The sequence below is a fragment of the Homo sapiens genome, chromosome 6, assembly GCF_000001405.40.
Source record: "Homo sapiens chromosome 6, GRCh38.p14 Primary Assembly".
NCBI lineage: Eukaryota > Metazoa > Chordata > Mammalia > Primates > Hominidae > Homo > Homo sapiens.
In genome coordinates this window covers 167,686,190-167,704,129 of record NC_000006.12, presented here as the reverse complement: position 1 = coordinate 167,704,129, position 17,940 = coordinate 167,686,190, and the positions used below count along the sequence as shown (strand labels likewise).

General features: G+C 47.2%; 2 long non-coding RNA genes across 2 annotated transcripts in view, besides 3 other annotated features; one reads left to right on the top strand and one right to left on the bottom strand.

The window, feature by feature from the left end:
- Window positions 306-847: an enhancer, noted in NCBI's record as "H3K27ac-H3K4me1 hESC enhancer chr6:168103963-168104504 (GRCh37/hg19 assembly coordinates)". NCBI's record gives its function as "activates a minimal SCP1, AML or CMV promoter by ChIP-STARR-seq in primed H9 embryonic stem cells {active_cell/tissue: H9 hESC(primed)}" and the evidence as "EXISTENCE:reporter gene assay evidence [ECO:0000049][PMID:30033119]".
- Window positions 4,462-4,611: an enhancer, noted in NCBI's record as "active region_25459". NCBI's record gives its function as "activates an Ori minimal core promoter by ATAC-STARR-seq in GM12878 lymphoblastoid cells {active_cell/tissue: GM12878}" and the evidence as "EXISTENCE:reporter gene assay evidence [ECO:0000049][PMID:35858748]".
- Window positions 4,752-4,831: an enhancer, noted in NCBI's record as "active region_25458". NCBI's record gives its function as "activates an Ori minimal core promoter by ATAC-STARR-seq in GM12878 lymphoblastoid cells {active_cell/tissue: GM12878}" and the evidence as "EXISTENCE:reporter gene assay evidence [ECO:0000049][PMID:35858748]".
- The window catches only part of LINC02487 (long intergenic non-protein coding RNA 2487), a 15,599-nt gene continuing 5,499 nt past the window's right edge, over window positions 7,841-17,940 (top strand). The window contains exons 1-3 of the long non-coding RNA NR_117092.2: window positions 7,841-7,926; window positions 8,043-8,214; window positions 8,753-8,795. This is a non-coding gene — a long non-coding RNA (long intergenic non-protein coding RNA 2487). The remainder of the gene's footprint in view (window positions 7,927-8,042; window positions 8,215-8,752; window positions 8,796-17,940) is intronic.
- The window catches only part of LOC124901465 (uncharacterized), a 12,753-nt gene continuing 7,958 nt past the window's right edge, over window positions 13,146-17,940 (bottom strand). Inside the window, exon 2 of the long non-coding RNA XR_007059883.1 lies at window positions 13,146-16,836. This is a non-coding gene — a long non-coding RNA (uncharacterized LOC124901465). The remainder of the gene's footprint in view (window positions 16,837-17,940) is intronic.

Here is a 17,940-nt window from a genome sequence, read left to right as displayed (position 1 = left end):
CTCTCCGGAGCTGGGAAGTGTCTCTCCCGAACTGGGAGGAGTTTCCCTGGAACCCCCTCCCCTCCCAGGGCTGAGTCAGCGTCCGAGCCGGGAGCTGGGGCTGCCTTCCAGAGGCTGGCTCCCTCCACTGAGAGAGGCTCAGCCCTCCCTGGGCATTTGGGCTGTGTGGGAGACAGAGACACCTGCATGAGACCATCCTAGAAGGGAGGAATCGCATGGGTGGGGGCAGCTACCAACAGCGTGGAACACTCAGGGCCTGAGGCTGGAGGAGCCTGGTTTGCTCAGAAACAGAGGAGGCTGGCGTGGCTGGGACATGGCCCTGGGAGATTGGCAGACATGGGGCCTGAAATGTCTTCAAAGGCTGCCGACAGTGGAGCATGGGGGCAGTGTGAGGCAGGAGCTGAGGGTCAGCCCTCCACAGGCCAAATGTGTCCAAGCCCGGTTCCTTGAGAGCTAAGCCCAGGCCTTCAGGAGCTGAACCATGCCTGCCTTCCTCACTGGCCACATACGCCCTGTGGAGGGCTCCATGGTTACACACACACCGTGGAGTGGGTCCATGGCCACACACACACTGTGCAGTGATGACCCATACTCACCGTGGAGTGCGCCCTTGACCACACACTCAATGGGGGGTCCAGCAGGCAACAGAAGGAAGCAGTGAGGCTCTTATTCTTTGTGTAGTCGTGAGTCGCTTAGCAACGTTTCAGTCCATGATGGATGGCACAGACAACGGTGGGCCTCTGAGATGATCGTGGAGCTGGAAGACTTCTACTGCCTTGTGATGTCATTGCACAATGCATTTCTCACGCGTTTGCGGTGATGCTGGTATAGGCAAACCTACTGCGTTACCAGTTGTATAAACGTATAGCTCGTACAGTTGTGCATAGCACATTCTACTTGATAATGATGATGCGTGCTATACTATACATTTTATTGTTATTTTAGAGTGTACTCCTCCTACTAATTAGAAAAACAAGTTAATTGTAAAGCAGCTGCAGGCAGGTCCTGTGGGAGGTGTCCAGAAGAAGGCATTGTCATCACAGGAGGTGACGGCTCTGTGCGTGTCATTGCCCCTGCAGACCTTCCAGTGGGACCAGATGTTGGGGGGAAGACAGTGACACCGAGGACCCTGACCCTGTGTGGGCCTAGGCCACTGTGTGTTTGCCTCTTTGTTTTTAACAGAAACATTTTAAAAGTTAAAAAAAAAAATGAAAAAATAGAAAAAAGCTTATAGAATGAGAATATAAAGAAAGAAAATAATTTTGTACAGCTGTATAATGTGTTTGTGTTTTAAGCAAAGTGTTATAAAAGAGTCAAAAAGTTAAAAAAATTTAAGTTTATAACATAAAAAAGTTACAGTAATCTAAGGTTAATCTACTATTTCGAAAAGAAAACTATTTTGCATAAATTTAATATATCCTAAGTGTACAGTGTTTATAAAGCCTGCAGTAGTTATGGTCACGACCTGGGCCTTCAGATTCACGCTCCACACACTCACTGACTCACCCAGAGCAACTTCCCGTTCTACAAGCCCCATTCATGCTAAGTGCCCTAAACAGGTGCAGCATTTTTAATCTTTGATACTGTATTTTCTATTGTCCCTTTCTTATGTTTAGATACACGAATACTTACCATTGTATTTCAGTTGCCCACAGTATTCCCCACAGTCACATAGGGCACAGGTCTGCAGCCCTGGAGCAACAGGCTCCACCACGCAGCCCAGGTGTGTAGCAGGCTGCTCCGCCCAGGTGTGTGTCGGTGCACTCTGATGAAATTGCCTAATGATGCATTTCTCAGAATGGATCCCCATCATTAGGTGACACCTGACTATATTTCAGTATAAGTGTTTGTGTGTGAATTTTTAGCATCTTACTCTTCTTAATGGTTGATTGTCGGCTCTGCTTTTAAAGCTTTAAATTTCAAAAGCCTCATAATTGCTAAAACCATGGTTTTCCTTTTTTCTTTTTCTTTTTTTTTTTTTTTTAATTGAGACAGGGTCTCACTCTGTCACCCAGGCAGTGGCGTGATCTCGGCTTACTGCAACCTCCACCTCCCGGGCTCAAGCAATTCTCCTGCCTCAGCCTCTCAAGTAGCTGGGATTACAGGTGTGCGCCACTACTGCCTGGATAATTTTTGTATTTTTAGTAGAGGTGGGGTTTCACCATTCGGCCAGGCTGGTCTTGAACTCCTGACCTCAAATGATCCACCCACCTCAGTCTCCCAAAGTGCTGGGATTACAGGCATGAGCCATGGTGCCCGGCCATCATTGTTCTTTGTGATCTATGATAAATAGAAAGCAAATAAGTTAAACTTATCAAGTACTATTTATTAAGTGCTTGACAAGTGTTTCCCAGGTGTGGAAGACATATCATTGGTGTTTTGAGAAATCATTTCAGGTAATGCATGCAGAATAGTTTGATTTTAATGGATATTAGGGGAAAAAAGTACTATATTTTAAAAGAAAGTACTGCAGGCCCATGCTTTGGTAATTATTTTTACTTAAGAAAAATGCTATGCTGAGTTTTTAAGTTGAAAAGTGAGTCAACTTAAAAAAAGCATAAGGTAAATAACACTGTATGTGGTAAGAAAACATAGTTAAAAGTATGGTGATAGAAAACAGTTACTAAAGCTTGAGAATTGGAGAGCATGAATCAAACATACTCTCGAACCGAAGAGCTTATTTTCCACATCATGCATCTTTTTTTGAGTCTTTTTTCTTTAGGGTACCATGTGGCATATCTTACTCTGGCATTTGTGAATGGGCTATATTCTCTGCCGTCACTATCTTTGTCATTTTACAACATCACACAGCTTATTTAAAGTTACACGACTGTGTATGTTTAAGCTTTTCAAAATAATTACCTAACGTATTTGTGAAATACCACTCCATGAGACGCGGTGTGTGTGTGTGTTTTGGGAGAAAGGCCGCGGAAGGACATTTACTCTCCTCACGCTCCCGTGCTCCCCGTCTGGCCTTGCACTCATTTAATCCGGGGTTCCTGTTCCTGATCGTTTCTTTAGCCAAATTTTTATTTTGTAGATTTTATAGGAACTGAGTATCATAAATAGATTTTGAAGTTTCCTTCCTCCCTTCCTCCCTTCTTCCTTTTCTCTCTCTCTGTCTCTCTCTCCCTCCCTCCCTGCCTCTCTCTCTCTCTCTCTCTCTCTCTCTCTCAGATGGATTCTCGCTCTGTCACCCAGGCTGGAGTGCAATGATGTGATCTCAGCTCACTGCAACCTCCGCCTCCCAGGTTCAAGCTATTCTCCTGCCTCAGCCTCCCGAGTAGCTGGGACTACAGGCGCCCGCCACCACGCCCGGCTAATTTTTATGTGTAGAAATTTCTTATGCCACTTATTTTAACCAGTCTCTGGGGACTTGGCCAACATTTCTATAGCGGGACTTTTACATTTTTGAGCTAATCTTTGCTTCTTATCTCAGTTGACTGAATGTATTTTGCAGTTCATTTTCCCAGGAAGGTGTATACTTTGTATGCTCTTGCATATTTGACATAATTCCTACGCTTTTGATTAAGTTCTCTCTATTGACCAGCAGGCAAGAACGCGATGTCAAACATACAAGCCTGTCTACACAGGGAGGAAGATTTGCCTGTGCTGGGCCCTGAGGACCACATTTTCCCTCCTCCCTGGACTCTGCTGTTCATCGGGCTCTGGTGCCCAGCACTGCACAGTGGAAACCTGAGGCCATCTTCGCCTGCATGTTTTGTGTGTGACTCTTTTCTCCTGAGTGCTGAGAGTATTTTGCGAGTCACTTCCTCACACTGACTCTGGGATAGGTAAAGGCGAGGCGAGATGCATTCGCACTGCTCTCCACAGCTCCTTATTTGGGAGCCCCTAGTCTCATTTCCACAGGGGACACACAATCATCTATGATGTGATATTCATGCTCTACAATTCTCCAACTTTAGTCTTTTTTTCCATCACCATAATTTTAGCTGTATTTTCTTACCACATACAGCATTATTTACCTTATACTTTTTTAAGTTAATTCACTTTTCAACTTAAAAACTCAGTATAACATTTTTTCTTAAGTAAAAGTAACTACCAAATCACGGACCTGCAGTACTTTCTTTTAAAATACAGTACTTTTTTCCCCCTAATCTCCTAATAGGCCTAGAAGATAACATTTCCTTGTACTAATGGTTCTGAAGGACAACTTAAAACAAAAACATGAGGGTTTATGACCCTGACTGGCGCTCTGTTCCCGAAGACACAGGCTCCTGGAAGCTCCCTGGGGATGGCCCCTCATCCAGGGTCCCCTCCACCGCGAGGTGCGGAGGAAGGTCTGTGGCTGACTCCAGTTTCCTCCAGCGGTCGTGTGCTGGATTTTTTGGTTCTAGGACTGCGGGTAAATGGATTTTAGCCATGAAAGGAAATAGGTGGTGCTTTCAGCTACAAGAGACAGAAACTCTGACTCAAGCTGCTTTTAAAAGAAAAGAGGAAATGTCTTACTTCACACACCAGGAAGCAGGAAGCACAGGGCGGGTGTCACCGTGGGAGGGGGATGAGCCAGGGCTGAGCCGTGGCATCAGGCTGGGCTCCTCTCCCCACCCTTGCTGTCCCAGGGCCAGCTTTGTCCCCAGGCTGGCTCCTGCAGTCAGAGATGAGAAGAAGCTTTGGGTGGTGTCAGAGACAGGACTCAGCCCCAGCCACGGGGAACCTGAGTCCTTCTCTCTAGCCCGACTGGGCTGATGTGAGCCCCGTCCTCACCCAGGACCCAGCACTTTCCTCAGAGGAGGCACCGTCAGGCGCTGAGCTGCATGGCTGTGGCTCTGCCAGAGCACAGCGTGTTAGAACCGCAGCCCCCGCACCACAGAGCTCGGAGTGGGCCCTGCAGTCCACTTGAAGCCAGGTCCCCAGATGTTTCTGATGTGTGCCAGGCTGGGGACCAGCCAGTCAGGCTAATCCAGCTGGCCTCCCTGCAGCTGGGGGAGGAAACCCCACAAGATGAGAGGGTGCGAGGATGGGTAGGAATTTGAACACAATCTTGGTTTTGTCAGCAGGAAGAAGTGGTCCCTGTGGCTGCAGCTGGGGGGAGACTTCTCACATCCCCTCCGTCTGTGTTCTAGTTGGGGAAGAAGCGGACAGTGGAGGCTGGGGACCCAGCTCTACTCACAGGGCAAGTGTGGCAGAGGCCCCAGCGTGGAGCCTTTCCGTCTGGGGCCATAGAGCCCCCAGCGTGGGGCCTTTCCGTCTGGGGCCATAGAGCCCCCAGCGTGGGGCCTTTCCGTCTGGGGCCATAGAGCCCCCAGCGTGGGGCCTTGCTTTCATGCTGGATCTGGGAATCTAGACAGCAGCCAGGGAGGGGGCCGTCTACAGTCTCCTAGCTCCAGGCTTTGGGCTGCTTGCAGGAAGAGTTGGTTCTGCAGAGCAGGCTCCACGTCGTATTGCCCTGCAGGCCGTCCAGTGCTTGGGGGATGGACTGTGTCCTAGACCCTAGACCTGGTTGCTGCAGAGGGAGGGGCTGGAGGCACGGCATCCGGGCTGGTGGGGACAGGTTCTGGACACTGCCCCATGGTACTCAGCTGCGGGCACACACAGCCTGTTCCTGCCTGGTGGGGAATATTGCTGCCTGGCAGGGGACGTGTGGCCCTGTTGATGTCAGACCCTCTACCAGCAGAGGGTTCTCCTCTCCCCGCCTGCTCTTGCCTGACACGCAGGCCATCATGGTGGTTGAGTGACATAGATGGAGGTGCGATGGGGGCCACTGCAGCCCCCACATGCTGGGCTCCCCACACTGCCCTCGCAGTGCTGTGATGGTCTCCATGACACCGCCCAGCTCTTCCCACGGGTGCCATGACATCTCCTGGGACTCGCGTGTTTCTCCTAAAGGTGCCTCTTGCTTCTGCCTTGGGTCGCTTAGTGGCTGATCCAGGCTGGAGCATCCCCGTCTGAGAGCAAGTGGTTTTTTACTAGTCCTCTTCCAGGCTACCCACCAACCCATCCCCAGGGCCTGGTGGTTAAGCATCTGGTACCCAAAAACAGACAGCCTGGGTTCAAACCTCAGCTGCGGTGTAGACTGACCATGTGACCTCTGCAAGCCTTCTAATTGCCCTAATTCGCAACTCCCTCATCTGGAAAGGAGGGGAAATTGTAATTCTCTTATGGTGTAGGTGTTACATTAAATAGTGACCACAAAGTGCCTAGGAGGTGAAAAGAGCTCCAAATGGGTAACAATTTCTACCCTCCTGCAGTTCCCTGGGTAGGGATGGGCACAGGCCGGGGAACTCCTTACGAGGGTCTGTGAGCTCTGAGGCACCTGAGACCTCATTGCCCTGACCCGTAGGATGGACTCCGGTGGCAGAGGAACTGGAGGCTGGTAGTTTGGACACAGACCTGTTTACAGCCTTCGAACCTCACTTTAAAGAAATTTCTGCCCTTGCACCTAGCTTATTGCTCAGGAAAGTAGAAAAGCGAAAAGCCTTTTCCTGCTGAAAATCAATGGCTCTCTTTAAAATATTAAAAGAACAGACAGGAGGAGATGGCACGCCACGATGGCAGGGGCAAGGCCACCGCCCTGAGGCTGCAGCTCAGAACAGATGCTCCGAGTGCAGCCAGATGGTGTGATTGAAAGGAAGAGAGCGGCCAGCAGTTCCAGAGTGGCCGCCTGGAGACAGCCCTCAGAGGTGCAGCTCTGCCAACACTCACGGACCCACGGCACTGACTTGCCATCACCAAGAGAATATTCTGTGATTCATTCATGAAACAAAGGTTTTCGTGGTATGTGAATGTTGTGTAAGGATTGTGAAGGATATAAAGAAGTTATTTCGATTATCTCAGTGTTTCCTGTCAGTATAGATCATGTGTGCACAAATCTTATAATAAATGAAATTAGTTTTGCATTTCTGAGTGCTTTGTTTGAAAAAGATACCCTGTAGTATATGATAAAAAGTAATTCTTTGCCAAAACAAAAAGAATCCTTCGCCAAATGTGTCTTTCACAGCCCATACTCCTCCCCCTACAAATAAAAGTCCAAAAAAAAGAAAAAGAAAAAAAGAAAAAAGAGAGAGAAAAGAAAGCGAGAATGTGGCCCTGCTGGTTCGTGTAACAGCAATAATCCTGAAGATGAAGATTCTCAGTAGAGAAACAGATCACATATAGCCAGAAGTGTCAGGATAAATCCCTTCTTATTACAAAGAACAATAGCAATTTTAAAAACTCATATAAAGATAACTTTACATTAAAAAACTCTTTATTGCTTTTTTCCTGTCCGTAAAAGAAATACAGCCTAGTTAAAAATATCAAACAAAAAAACCTAAACAGTGGAGAAATGGAAAAAGATCAGAAATTAAATACTTCCATCATCTCCACTGCCCCTCGAGCCAGAGCCTGGTAAACACCCTTCACGTTTTGTTTCTCGCTGCCTGTTCTGAGACAAAGGTGGCACATGAGTTCATCCTTATAAGAACTGGATCATGCTCTACATATGGCTCTGGCACATTTTTTTAACTTAATAATATGTCTCAGACTTCTTTGCACATCAATGCCTATTGATCTATTTCATTCTTTTTAATGGCTGCCTTGCATGGCTCTACCATGATTTATTTAACCAAATCCCTGTTGATTGACATTTGGGTTCTTTCCAATTTTTGCTATTACAGACAATGTTACAATAGAGATCTTTGTCTGTAAATCCTTGTGGACTTCGTGAATATTTCTTTGGACGAATCCTCAGGAGTGAAGTTGCTTGGTCATAGAGATGTGCGTGAGCGTGCACCCCCAGGCTCCACGCCCACCTTGCCCTGCCCTCCCCCATCAGAGGATGGGAAGGGGCGGGGGAGTTGAGGTAGGCCTTTATAAGGAAGCAGAAAGCTTGGTCTTGGTCTATGGTTGCAGCTTTTAGGAGGCCACGGCTTTTACTCCCAACAGGCCCACTGAGACTAATGGGGCCACACTACTGGGAGGGGGGTGAGAATTAACTCATTAAATGAGCATCATTCTGCATAATTGTGTGAAATACGGATTTTATTGTGAGTGGAAGGCCTTGCAAACGAAGGACAGAGACTGTTTCTTTCATGTTTCAGCAGTGTTTCTCAAAGCATGGTCTTTAGACCGTCTGAGTGAGAAACCCCGGGGCAATGATTTCGCTGGTTCCCAGTCAGATCTGCCACTGCCGAATCTGTGATGAGGCCCAGAAAGCTCCTGACAGACGGTGCCTCTGTGTGCAGCAACAGGAGACCACGGCGGTCTCACCTGGTGAGTGGCGACTGCGTGTATTTCTCGTGTTCTTCGTGTTTGTGGACTTCCCACCACCACCTCATTCTGTTCTCTCCATTTGTCATGATTTTCCTTGCCTTTTTTTTTTTTTTTTTTTTTAGTATTTAGTTTTTTGTCTTTGATTGAAATGATTGTGTTTTATTCTCTCTTTTCCTTCAGGGCCTAGAAGTTGTATCTATTATTTTAGTGCTTACTCAAAAAATTTTAGCCTATTGCACATAATAAGACCTAAAAAACCAATATCCATACCCTGCTCTGAAGAACAGGTGGACCTCAGAACACTTTAGTATCTACAGCCCTGACTGACCTTCTTTGTTACTGGGCTGGCATTGTAGTTTCAGGCTGTTATTAAGCCCTTAGAGTCTTCATGGCTGCCACTGTTGTTTTTGTTATTATTATTATTATTGATTTTTTTATCATCAATGTTCACATTTACTAATATTTTTGTATATCGCATTACTCAACATTCCTAGTGAATCCCATTTTTCTTTCTGGTTTTAATTTGCTTCTTACTCAGGAAACTCTTCCACAGTTGTCATTTCAGCAGCGCTCCACAAGTGGTAAGTTCTTCTAGACATTGTCCAAAAATGTCTTTCTTGCTCTCCCTATTAAACAGTAGTTTAGCTCAACATAGTTTGTGGGAAATCTGGTGTCAGTCCAATTGCCAGAAAAATTATTGTCGTTTGTTGTACTAGTAATATGCCTTTTCTCTCTGTTTTTTTTTTTTTCTTTTTTTGACTGAGTTTAGCTCTTGCGGCCGAGGCTGGAGAGCAATGGCGTGAACTCAGTTCACTGCAACCTGTGTCTTCTGGGATCAAGCGATTCTCCTGCTTCAGCCTCCAGAGTAGCTGGGATTAAAAGCACCCGGCACCATGCCCAGCTAATTTTTTGTATTTTTAGTAGAGATGGGGATTCACCATGTTGGCCAGGCTGGTCTTGAACTCCTGATCTCAGGTGATCCTCCCACCTCAGCCTCCCAAAGTATTGGGATTACAGGCGTGAGCCACCACTCCCAGCCTTTAGTTGTTTTTAAGATTTTTCTTTGTCTTTGATGCTAATCAGTTTTTCCTTGATATGTCCAGGTATAATTCTATTTTAATGGATCTCGACTGGTATTTCACGACCTCCTTCAATCTGAGACCCATAACTTTCTTTAATTTGGGGACATTCTCAGCCATTAACTCCTAGTTAACTTCTTCTCTCTCATCTTCCCACTTCCTATGGAATGCATGATATACATTGGACCCTCTCATCTTACCTTCCATATCTCTCAGTCTTTTTTATTTTCTTTTACCTCTGTGCTACATTCTTAGTAATCTCCTCTAATCTGTCTTCTAGTTCACTGAGCTGCTTGGCTAATCTGCTATTTAATACCTTCATTGAGTCTTTAGACGCCTTGACTATATTATGTATTTCTAGACATGTAGTTTTTCTTTGTTAAACAAGGGCACTAGAATTTTTCTTAGGTGCCATCAATCAGATCTGGGAACATGAGTCATGGAGCTGGCCAACTCTCCTGGGCAGGGGCTGGATCTATCCAAAAATGTTTGCAAAGCAGAGGATGGAAGAACGACGTTTTCTCAAGGAAAAAAATGTAAATCTGGAGAATTATCTTTAGGGGCTCTCCTCCAACCTAGTGACATGTTTAAGTTCCTGGTTGTAATTCCCTTGGATTAAGAGAAAAGTCATGTGCAGTTTATGGTGTTAATTTTTTTCCTCTATATAGGGTAAAAATTAAAGTTGACATAATCAAATGATCTACCACAATTAGGACTTAAAGTACAACAGCAACAAAAATATCTACATCTCAATGAACAGTCCAAGGTAATGTTCTAGAATTGCAGGTAGCTCTGCTCCCAGAAGCCATCAAGACAACCTGGATGATGGCAGCTCCACCACCTTCAACACGTGGCTTCCAATGGGAAGGCCAGAGCCTCCCTCTTAAGGAAGTGAGCAGAGGTTGTACTGCTTCCCTCGTATTTCACTGTGAGCACTGGATCCCATTGTGTCCAGAATTTCTTCCTTCCGGTGGGTTCTTGGTCTCACTGACTTCAAGAATGAAGCCACAGACCTTTGCGGTGAGTGTTACAGCTCTTTAAGGTGGTGTGGACCCAAAGAGTGAGCAGCAGCAAGATTTACTGTGAAGAGCAAGAGAACAAAGCTTCCACAACGTGGAAGGGGACCAGAGCCGGTTGCCGCTGCTGGCTGGGGTGGCCAGCTTTTATTCCCTTATTTGGCCCCGCCCACATCCTGCTGATTGGTACATTTTACAGAGCGCTGATTGGTCCATTTTACAGTGTTGATTGGTCCGTAAGTCCAGCTGGCTTTGCCTCTCACCATGATCTCCCATAGCAGCAAGGGGCTTGGGAAATGCATCCTAGTTCTGTAGCCAGGTCCTCTCCCCAGCTCTGTTCCCATGGCAGAAGAAGATAATGGTTTGGTAGCAATCTCAGTCACTTCTAAAATGGAATTCCTTTTACAGCCTTTGGTCTTTTAGAAAAGTCTGATAGGTCTTAGAACCTTCTCCTTAGTCCTGACTACCTCTGAGATTCCGGCTTTGCAAGGCCCTCTGACCCTGACTGCGTCAAGGAAGAAAAAGGAAGGTAAGGGAACTCTGAGTTTATTTTGAGATGGAGTCTCGCACTGTCTCCCAGGCTGGAGTGCAGTGGCTTGATCTCCACTCACTGCAACCTCCGCCTCCCTGGTTTAAGTGATTCTCTTCCCTCAGCCTCCTGAGTAGGGATTACAGGTGCTTGCCAAAAAGACTGGCTAATTGTTTGTATTTTTAGTAGAGATGGGGTTTCACTATGTTGGCCAGGCTGGTCTTGAACTCCTGACCTCGTGATCCACCTGCCTCGGCCTCCCAAAGTGCTGAGATTACAGGTATGAGTCACTGCACCCAGCCTATTTTTAAATATTTTTTAGAACAGGGTCTCCAGGGTCTTGCTCTGTCACCCAGGCTAGAGTTCAGTAGCATGATCATAGCTAACTGCAGTCTCAAACTCCTGGGCTCAAGCTATCCTCTCTCCTCAGCCTCCTGAGTAGCTGAGACTACAGGCATCCACCACCATGCCCAGCTAATTCATTTTTAAATTATTATTTTAGAGACGAGGTCTTGCCGTGTTGCCCAGACAAGTCTTGAACTACTGTCCTCAAGCGACCCTCCTGCCTCAGCCTCCCAAAGTGATGGGATTACAGTCATGAGCTACTGCACCCAGCCTGAACTAATAAATATTAAAGAGAGAGAGAGAGAGAGAGAGAGAGAGAGAGAGAGAGAGAGAGAGAGAGAGAGGGAGAGAAAGGGAGAAAGGAAGAGGAAGAAAAAAGTAGAAGTTCTTTGTTTTCACTCGTTTTATTTGACTTCATTATTCAAATCAAGGTGTTTGAAAAGGTTTCATGAGTGCTATAATACCGAAGTTTTTGTGTATTTGATCAGGTCACTTTGTTGCATTTTCATGTAAATGCAACAAATCATGCAGGCGGCCTGTGTGATTTGAGGCTGCGGTCCCTCTTTCCACTTGTTTCTTTGTTTTAGGCAATTGTGATTGCTGAGGATAAGTCTGAAATTAGTTTAATGTTCCCTTTTCTAGTACTCTGTCTCTTATGCCTTGATGTTTGTATTATTTAAAAGTATCTCTTCTTTCCCACAGTACTTTGTATTCCTGTGTTTGTCATGTCATACTGATAGCCTCTGTTCTCCTCCCTCCTTCCCTTTCCTTCTCTTTCTCTTTCTCTTCCCCCCTCTTGCTCCCTCCCTCTCTCCGTCCCCACCCCCCTCTGTTTCTGATCAGGAACATTCTACACGTTCCTTGCTGGGTTGGATCCATCTTTGAACGGGGAGGTTCTACTCTGGCCTGTCTTTTCCTAGGAATGCTTTTACTGCTGGATTCTTCGCCACTGCCTTTTGTTTACCTGGGTCAGATTTGAATTGTCCTCTTAGATCAAGGCCCGTGGGGTGCATATTCATAATTTCTAATCTGTGTTTTTAAGCGAACTCTTGCTGGGATTTGTTGTAGCAGGCAGAAGCTACAGTTCCTGCAGAGTCCTTAAGCTTCTGGATTCCTTTGTCACAGGAGGTGTGCGCTAGAGGATCTCCTAGGTTTGCAGTTTGGACATCTGGGTCACGCGGGGCCCCCGGCTCACACTTCAGTTGAGTGAGTTAGTGTCCAGCATTCCCACTCTGTTCACTGTGGTCAGCTTCTGCAAATGGACTCTCAGGCCATACGCCCACTGCCTGTGAAGGATCAGGATGACAGTATCTCACGAAAGTCTTACAGACTTAAGGCAGGCAGTTCAGCGATCAGACATTGGAAGGCCCTTTCAAGGATGTAACACAGCTTAGAAAACAAACCCAGAGAAACAGGAAGATGATGTGAATAAGGTCCTCTCTCTTTACCTAAGTTTTATATTTGGAATATTTCAACATTATTTTCTTTAGAGTGATAAAAACATGAATTAATCCTATCAAGATGATTTCAGACCAAGTGTGGTATTTTAAATTTGAGCTTCGGCCCTTAGAGATATTGACAGTAAATGCAAAGAAAGTGAAGATGCTTCAATCTGGTGCTTTATTTAAACCGGGAGCCAAGCTTAGAGCTCACAGCAGTTTCAACCAGCACATCATGACAGTGCAAATGACACCAGGTTATTTCGGGTCCTTAAATCGATTCCCCGGATGGTGCAGATGGCACACTGCTATTACAGACTGCCACACAACAGGGGGAAGGTCCTGGCACTCTCATTCAGTTCAGAGTGTGCATGTGGATGAGAGGGAGGAACTCTCAGAGGCTGGGAGCAAATTCTGACTTAGAGCAGGCCAATCATTTATCATCTAGCAAGACCAGTGGAGAGGCGTGGGGAGGGGGTGAGTAGGAACGCAGAGAACCCAGGAGACATCACACATCCATGAATGCTGAATAACTGAGACAGGTCTCAGTGAATTTAGGAAGTTTATTTTGCCACAGTTAAGGACGTGCACCCATGACACAGCCTCAGGAGGTCCTGACCACAGGTACTCAGGGTGGTCCTAGCACAGCTTGGTTTTATACATTTTAGGGAGACATGAGACATCAATCAATATATGCAAGATGAGCATTGGTTTGGTCCGGAAAGGTGGGACAACCGGAAGCAAAGGCGGGAAGACTGGAAGCAGGCAGGGAGCTTCCGGTCAGGGGTAGATAAGAGACAAATGGTTGCATTGTTTTGAGTTTCTGATGAACCTCTCCAAAGGAGGCAATCAGATCTGCATTTATCTCAGGGAGCAGAGGGATGACTTTGCTTCGTCATCATTGTTGTTGTTGTTTGAGACAGAGTCTTGCTCTGTCACCCAGGCTGGAGTGCAATGGTGCGATCTTAGCTTACTGCAACCTCCGTGTCCCGGGTTCAAGTGATTCTCCTGCCTCAGCCTTCTGAGTAGCTGGGACTACAGTGCCCGCCACCATGCCCGGCCAATTTTTTGTGTTTTTAGTAGGGATGGGGTTTCACCATGTTGTTCAGGCTGGTCTCGAACTCCTGACCCCAGGTGATCTGCCTGCCTTGGCCTCCCAAAGTACTGGGATTACAGGCGTGAGATACTGCGCCCAGCCGCAGAGGGTGACTTTGAATAGAGTGGGAGGCAGGTTGGCCCTAAGCAGTTCCCAGCTTGACTTTTCCCTTTAGCTTAGTGATTTTGGGGCCCCAAGATTTGTTGTCCTGTCACACATCTCTGCTTCCTCTCTGCTGAACCAAATGTCAAAAGAGTTCATTTAAACTCAGAACAAAATAACATCTTCAAAAACACAGAAAGTGATTTCTCATTTAAAGCTTCTTATTCACTGTTGGCCCAGAAAGTCTGATATTAAGTGATCAGTGAAAGTCAAGCTTGCAAAACATTCTCAGTTGGCAACAGCAGTGATGAAGTCCACAGATAACCTCAGTCAACTGCAGCCCTGAAACTCTTGAGCCAAATGGCACGCTCGTCATTCCACTTCTGGGGAGGAAACACCCCTTGCCTGATACCGACTTTTCCCATGTTCTGGCCTGTGGGGTCAGGAGGTGGGCCACGCACTAGTGCACATAGCTGGGAAGTGCTCAGCGTGAAGCTTTGTCTCCTCCCTCAGGGACAATGGGGACTGTGCCAGGTCTTGGGTGACCCCCTCGAAAAGCAGGAGCAGGGAAACCATGCCTTCTTTTCTGTGCCCAATGCACAGAAGCTCCGAAGCCAGCACTGCCTTCCTTTGGTGATGTGGGGGATTCTCTGTTCTTAGATATTGAGGGAGCCCCGGATCATTGCTCCTAGAACCACTGGCCTGAGCCCATGGGATTCTGCTTAGTCTTGCTGCCTCCCCTGGCTGCAGGGTGCTGAGTGGGCACTCATGCTGGATCTGGCCCCAGCAGCAGGGTCTCCCCAGGGCTGAGTGGAAGCTCTGATGTAGAGACGTGGCCTTATAATCTGTAAAATTCTCAACACGTGAGTTACAGGGCAAGGGCTGTGTCCTCACTCTGCGTCACAATGACTCCGTGCTGCCTCCACTGAGAGTGGAGCTGCAGGCTGCCCCTGGCTCCCAGGTGAGGATGGCAGCACCCCCAGAGGGAGACCAGGCACCCCCTCTGATTCTGAGACTGTTGGGGGTCCTTAAGGCTGAGGCTGTCCCTACAAAACGAGGGTTTCTGAGGGACCACTGGGCTAGTGCTGAATGGTTTTGGGAGATTCGCTCCACCATTCTGGATTCTGGTTAAGAGGAAGTCTCACCATCAGAGCCTGGATGAAGGGGAAAGGGAGCGTTCAAAGGAACACAGCGGGTGGCAGGATGATTGAATGGGGGGTAAACACCCATCGTGGCAGCTCAGCACCCATTCACTGACCGGAGACCAGTCAGCTAGAAAGCCAACCAGTACAGGAAAGAAAAAAGCAGTTTAACTTTTCTTTCTCTTTTCTTTTTTTTTTTTTTTTGAGATGGAGTCTCGTTCTGTCACCCAGGCTGGAGTGCAGTGGCGCAGTCTCGGCTCACTGCAACCTCCGCCTCTCGGGTTCCAGTGATTCTCCTGCCTCATCCTCCCAAGTAGCTGGGACTACAGGCACGTGCCACCACACCCAGCTAATTTTTGTATTTTTCATAGAGACGGGGTTTCACCATGTTGGCCAGGATGGTCTCGATCTCTTGACCTTGTGATCTCCCTGCCTCGGCCTCCCAAAGTGCTGGGATTACAGGTGTGAGCCATGGCGCCCGGCCTTAACTTTTCTTTTATAAGCCCCATTTGTCCTCATCTCATCCCTTCCAGGTAGCTAAATGACAAATATCTTCCAGCAAAAGGTGCAGGAATGTGCGAGCGAGAAGAAGGTGCAGTGGGAGCTGACTGGCTCCTGGTTCTGACATCGTCCCGCTTCCCTGGTGCCCTGCAAGGAGGCCCATTGCTCCCCTGTGATGGCACTCACTCTGGATGACAGTCATCAAGTCCAAACCCAGAGCTTCTGTTCTGATTGCAGGGTGCCTTCATTAGCAGGGTCACGTGGTTGGAGAATCTAAGCACCGACCCGTGAAATGCATTTAAGTTAATGAGCTCATCCACTGCTGTGAGCAGTGCCTCCAGGAGGACCCCCATGAAGGATCAGCACCCACACTCCATCCACAGATGATCTGGGGCAGGTGTAACCAGAACGTGCTGCATGGCACCCTGGCTGTGGGCACCATCCCGCCCTCTCTGCGGGAGAGAAGAGTGTTTTACTGCAGCCAAATTCCAGGCACAAAGCTGGTGATTCCAGCCAGTAGGGCTGCTAGAGCCAGGGGTCCTACTCCCGTTTGACAGCAGTGTGTCTCCAGCGAAGATGCTTACCTGCTGCCATATCAAGAAAGGGGAGACCAGTGCCAGCCATTATGCACGCTGTAGGTGACCAACAGCTCAGATGTGCTGTCGACCCACAAAGACTCTCTCACTTAGACACGAAGACACCCGTATTTGCACAGACACCGGGGGAAGAGACACAGGAGGGAGAGCAGGGTGGAGGTTGTGGCTTTGCGCCTGCACACCCATGAAGAAGGAGTGGACTCGAGGCACAGTTTTGAGAACATGGTCCGTCTCTTTCTCTAGGAAACTCACAAGCCCTGCACAGGTGACTCCTGAGTCTCCACACACACACTGACAGCCATTCGGGGGTGTGAGGTTCCGTCTAGAAAACTACCACTGCCAACACCTGCAGCAAGGGGCCCGTTAACGCAGATCACAGGTGGAGGGAGGCGCAGCCCAAGGCCTTCCACTGCGCAGGAAACAACCGTGTTATTCTGAGCTTTCCTTCCAGATTGCTAATTCCTGTTTCTGAAAATCTTCCTGATTCTTCGAGTGCTAAGAAGCACTTACCTCATGCCTCCATCTGTTCCTTTATCCTGGCTCCTCTTTTTGGATCACACGGCCGCTCTCTCAGAAGTGTTTGACTCCTCATCAGTGAAGGTTCAGGAAGTCTGTTAGTGGCTCCCAAAATGTCTGCCTTTCACCTTCCAAGAAAATCCTGCAGCCACGGAGGGCAGGACGCTGAAGAAAGAAACGCAGCTCTCCCGGTGCGGGCGGCTTGGCCCCCAGAAGGGCCTGGATCCGAGTTAACTCTGCAGCACCTCGGGGCATCTTTCACTGTTGAGGAGAGAAATCTGCTTCACACTTAATCACAAAATCCAGATCTCACACTGCTATAAAAAGAAGTGATTTCAATCAAGCCCAGCAAATTGGAGCAAAATGCCAACAACGAGGCAGGACATCTGCTGCCATTTGATCGTCCCAGGGCAGCCAGCAGGCAGCAGGGTCAGAATGGAGGCCACAGCCACACTCTGTCCTCGAGTGGGGGACAAAGGACAAGATGGGTGTACACACACACACACACACACACACAATCACACAAATATACACACATGCAAACACATAAACGTCTACACACATGCATGAATATACACACAAATTCACACAAATGTGCACAAACACACAAATATATACACATGCACACACAAATATACACACAAGCACACACACCCTCATACACATGCTCACACATATGCTCATGCAATCACACAAATACACATACACAAATGTATACACACACAAATATACACACATGCACACACACATGCTCACACACGCTTAGAATTATACACAAATACCCACAAATGCATATACACATGTGCCCACACAGATTTTAACACACATGTGCACAAACATGTACACACATGCACACACAAATGTATACACACATTTGCACACACAAATACACATGCACACACAAAACGTATACACATATGTACACATAAATACATATAAATGCATACACATATGTGCATGCACAAATGTATTCACATATGTACACCTACAAATACACACATGTGCAAACAAATATACACACAACTGTATGCACATATATGCACAAACAAATGCATCCACACACATTCACAAACATGTGCACACACACGCTCACAGAAATGCATATACACATGCTCACACACAAATATAAACATGCACACACAAATGCATACACACGTGCACACATATAAACATGCACAGAAATGCATGCACATACAAATATAAACATGCACACTTACAAATATACACACACGTGAACACGCAAATGTATATACAGATGTGTGCACACACAAATGCATGCACACATGCACACAAATACACAAATATAAACATAAGCACACACAAACGTATACACATGTGCACACACATGCTTATGTACTCACATGC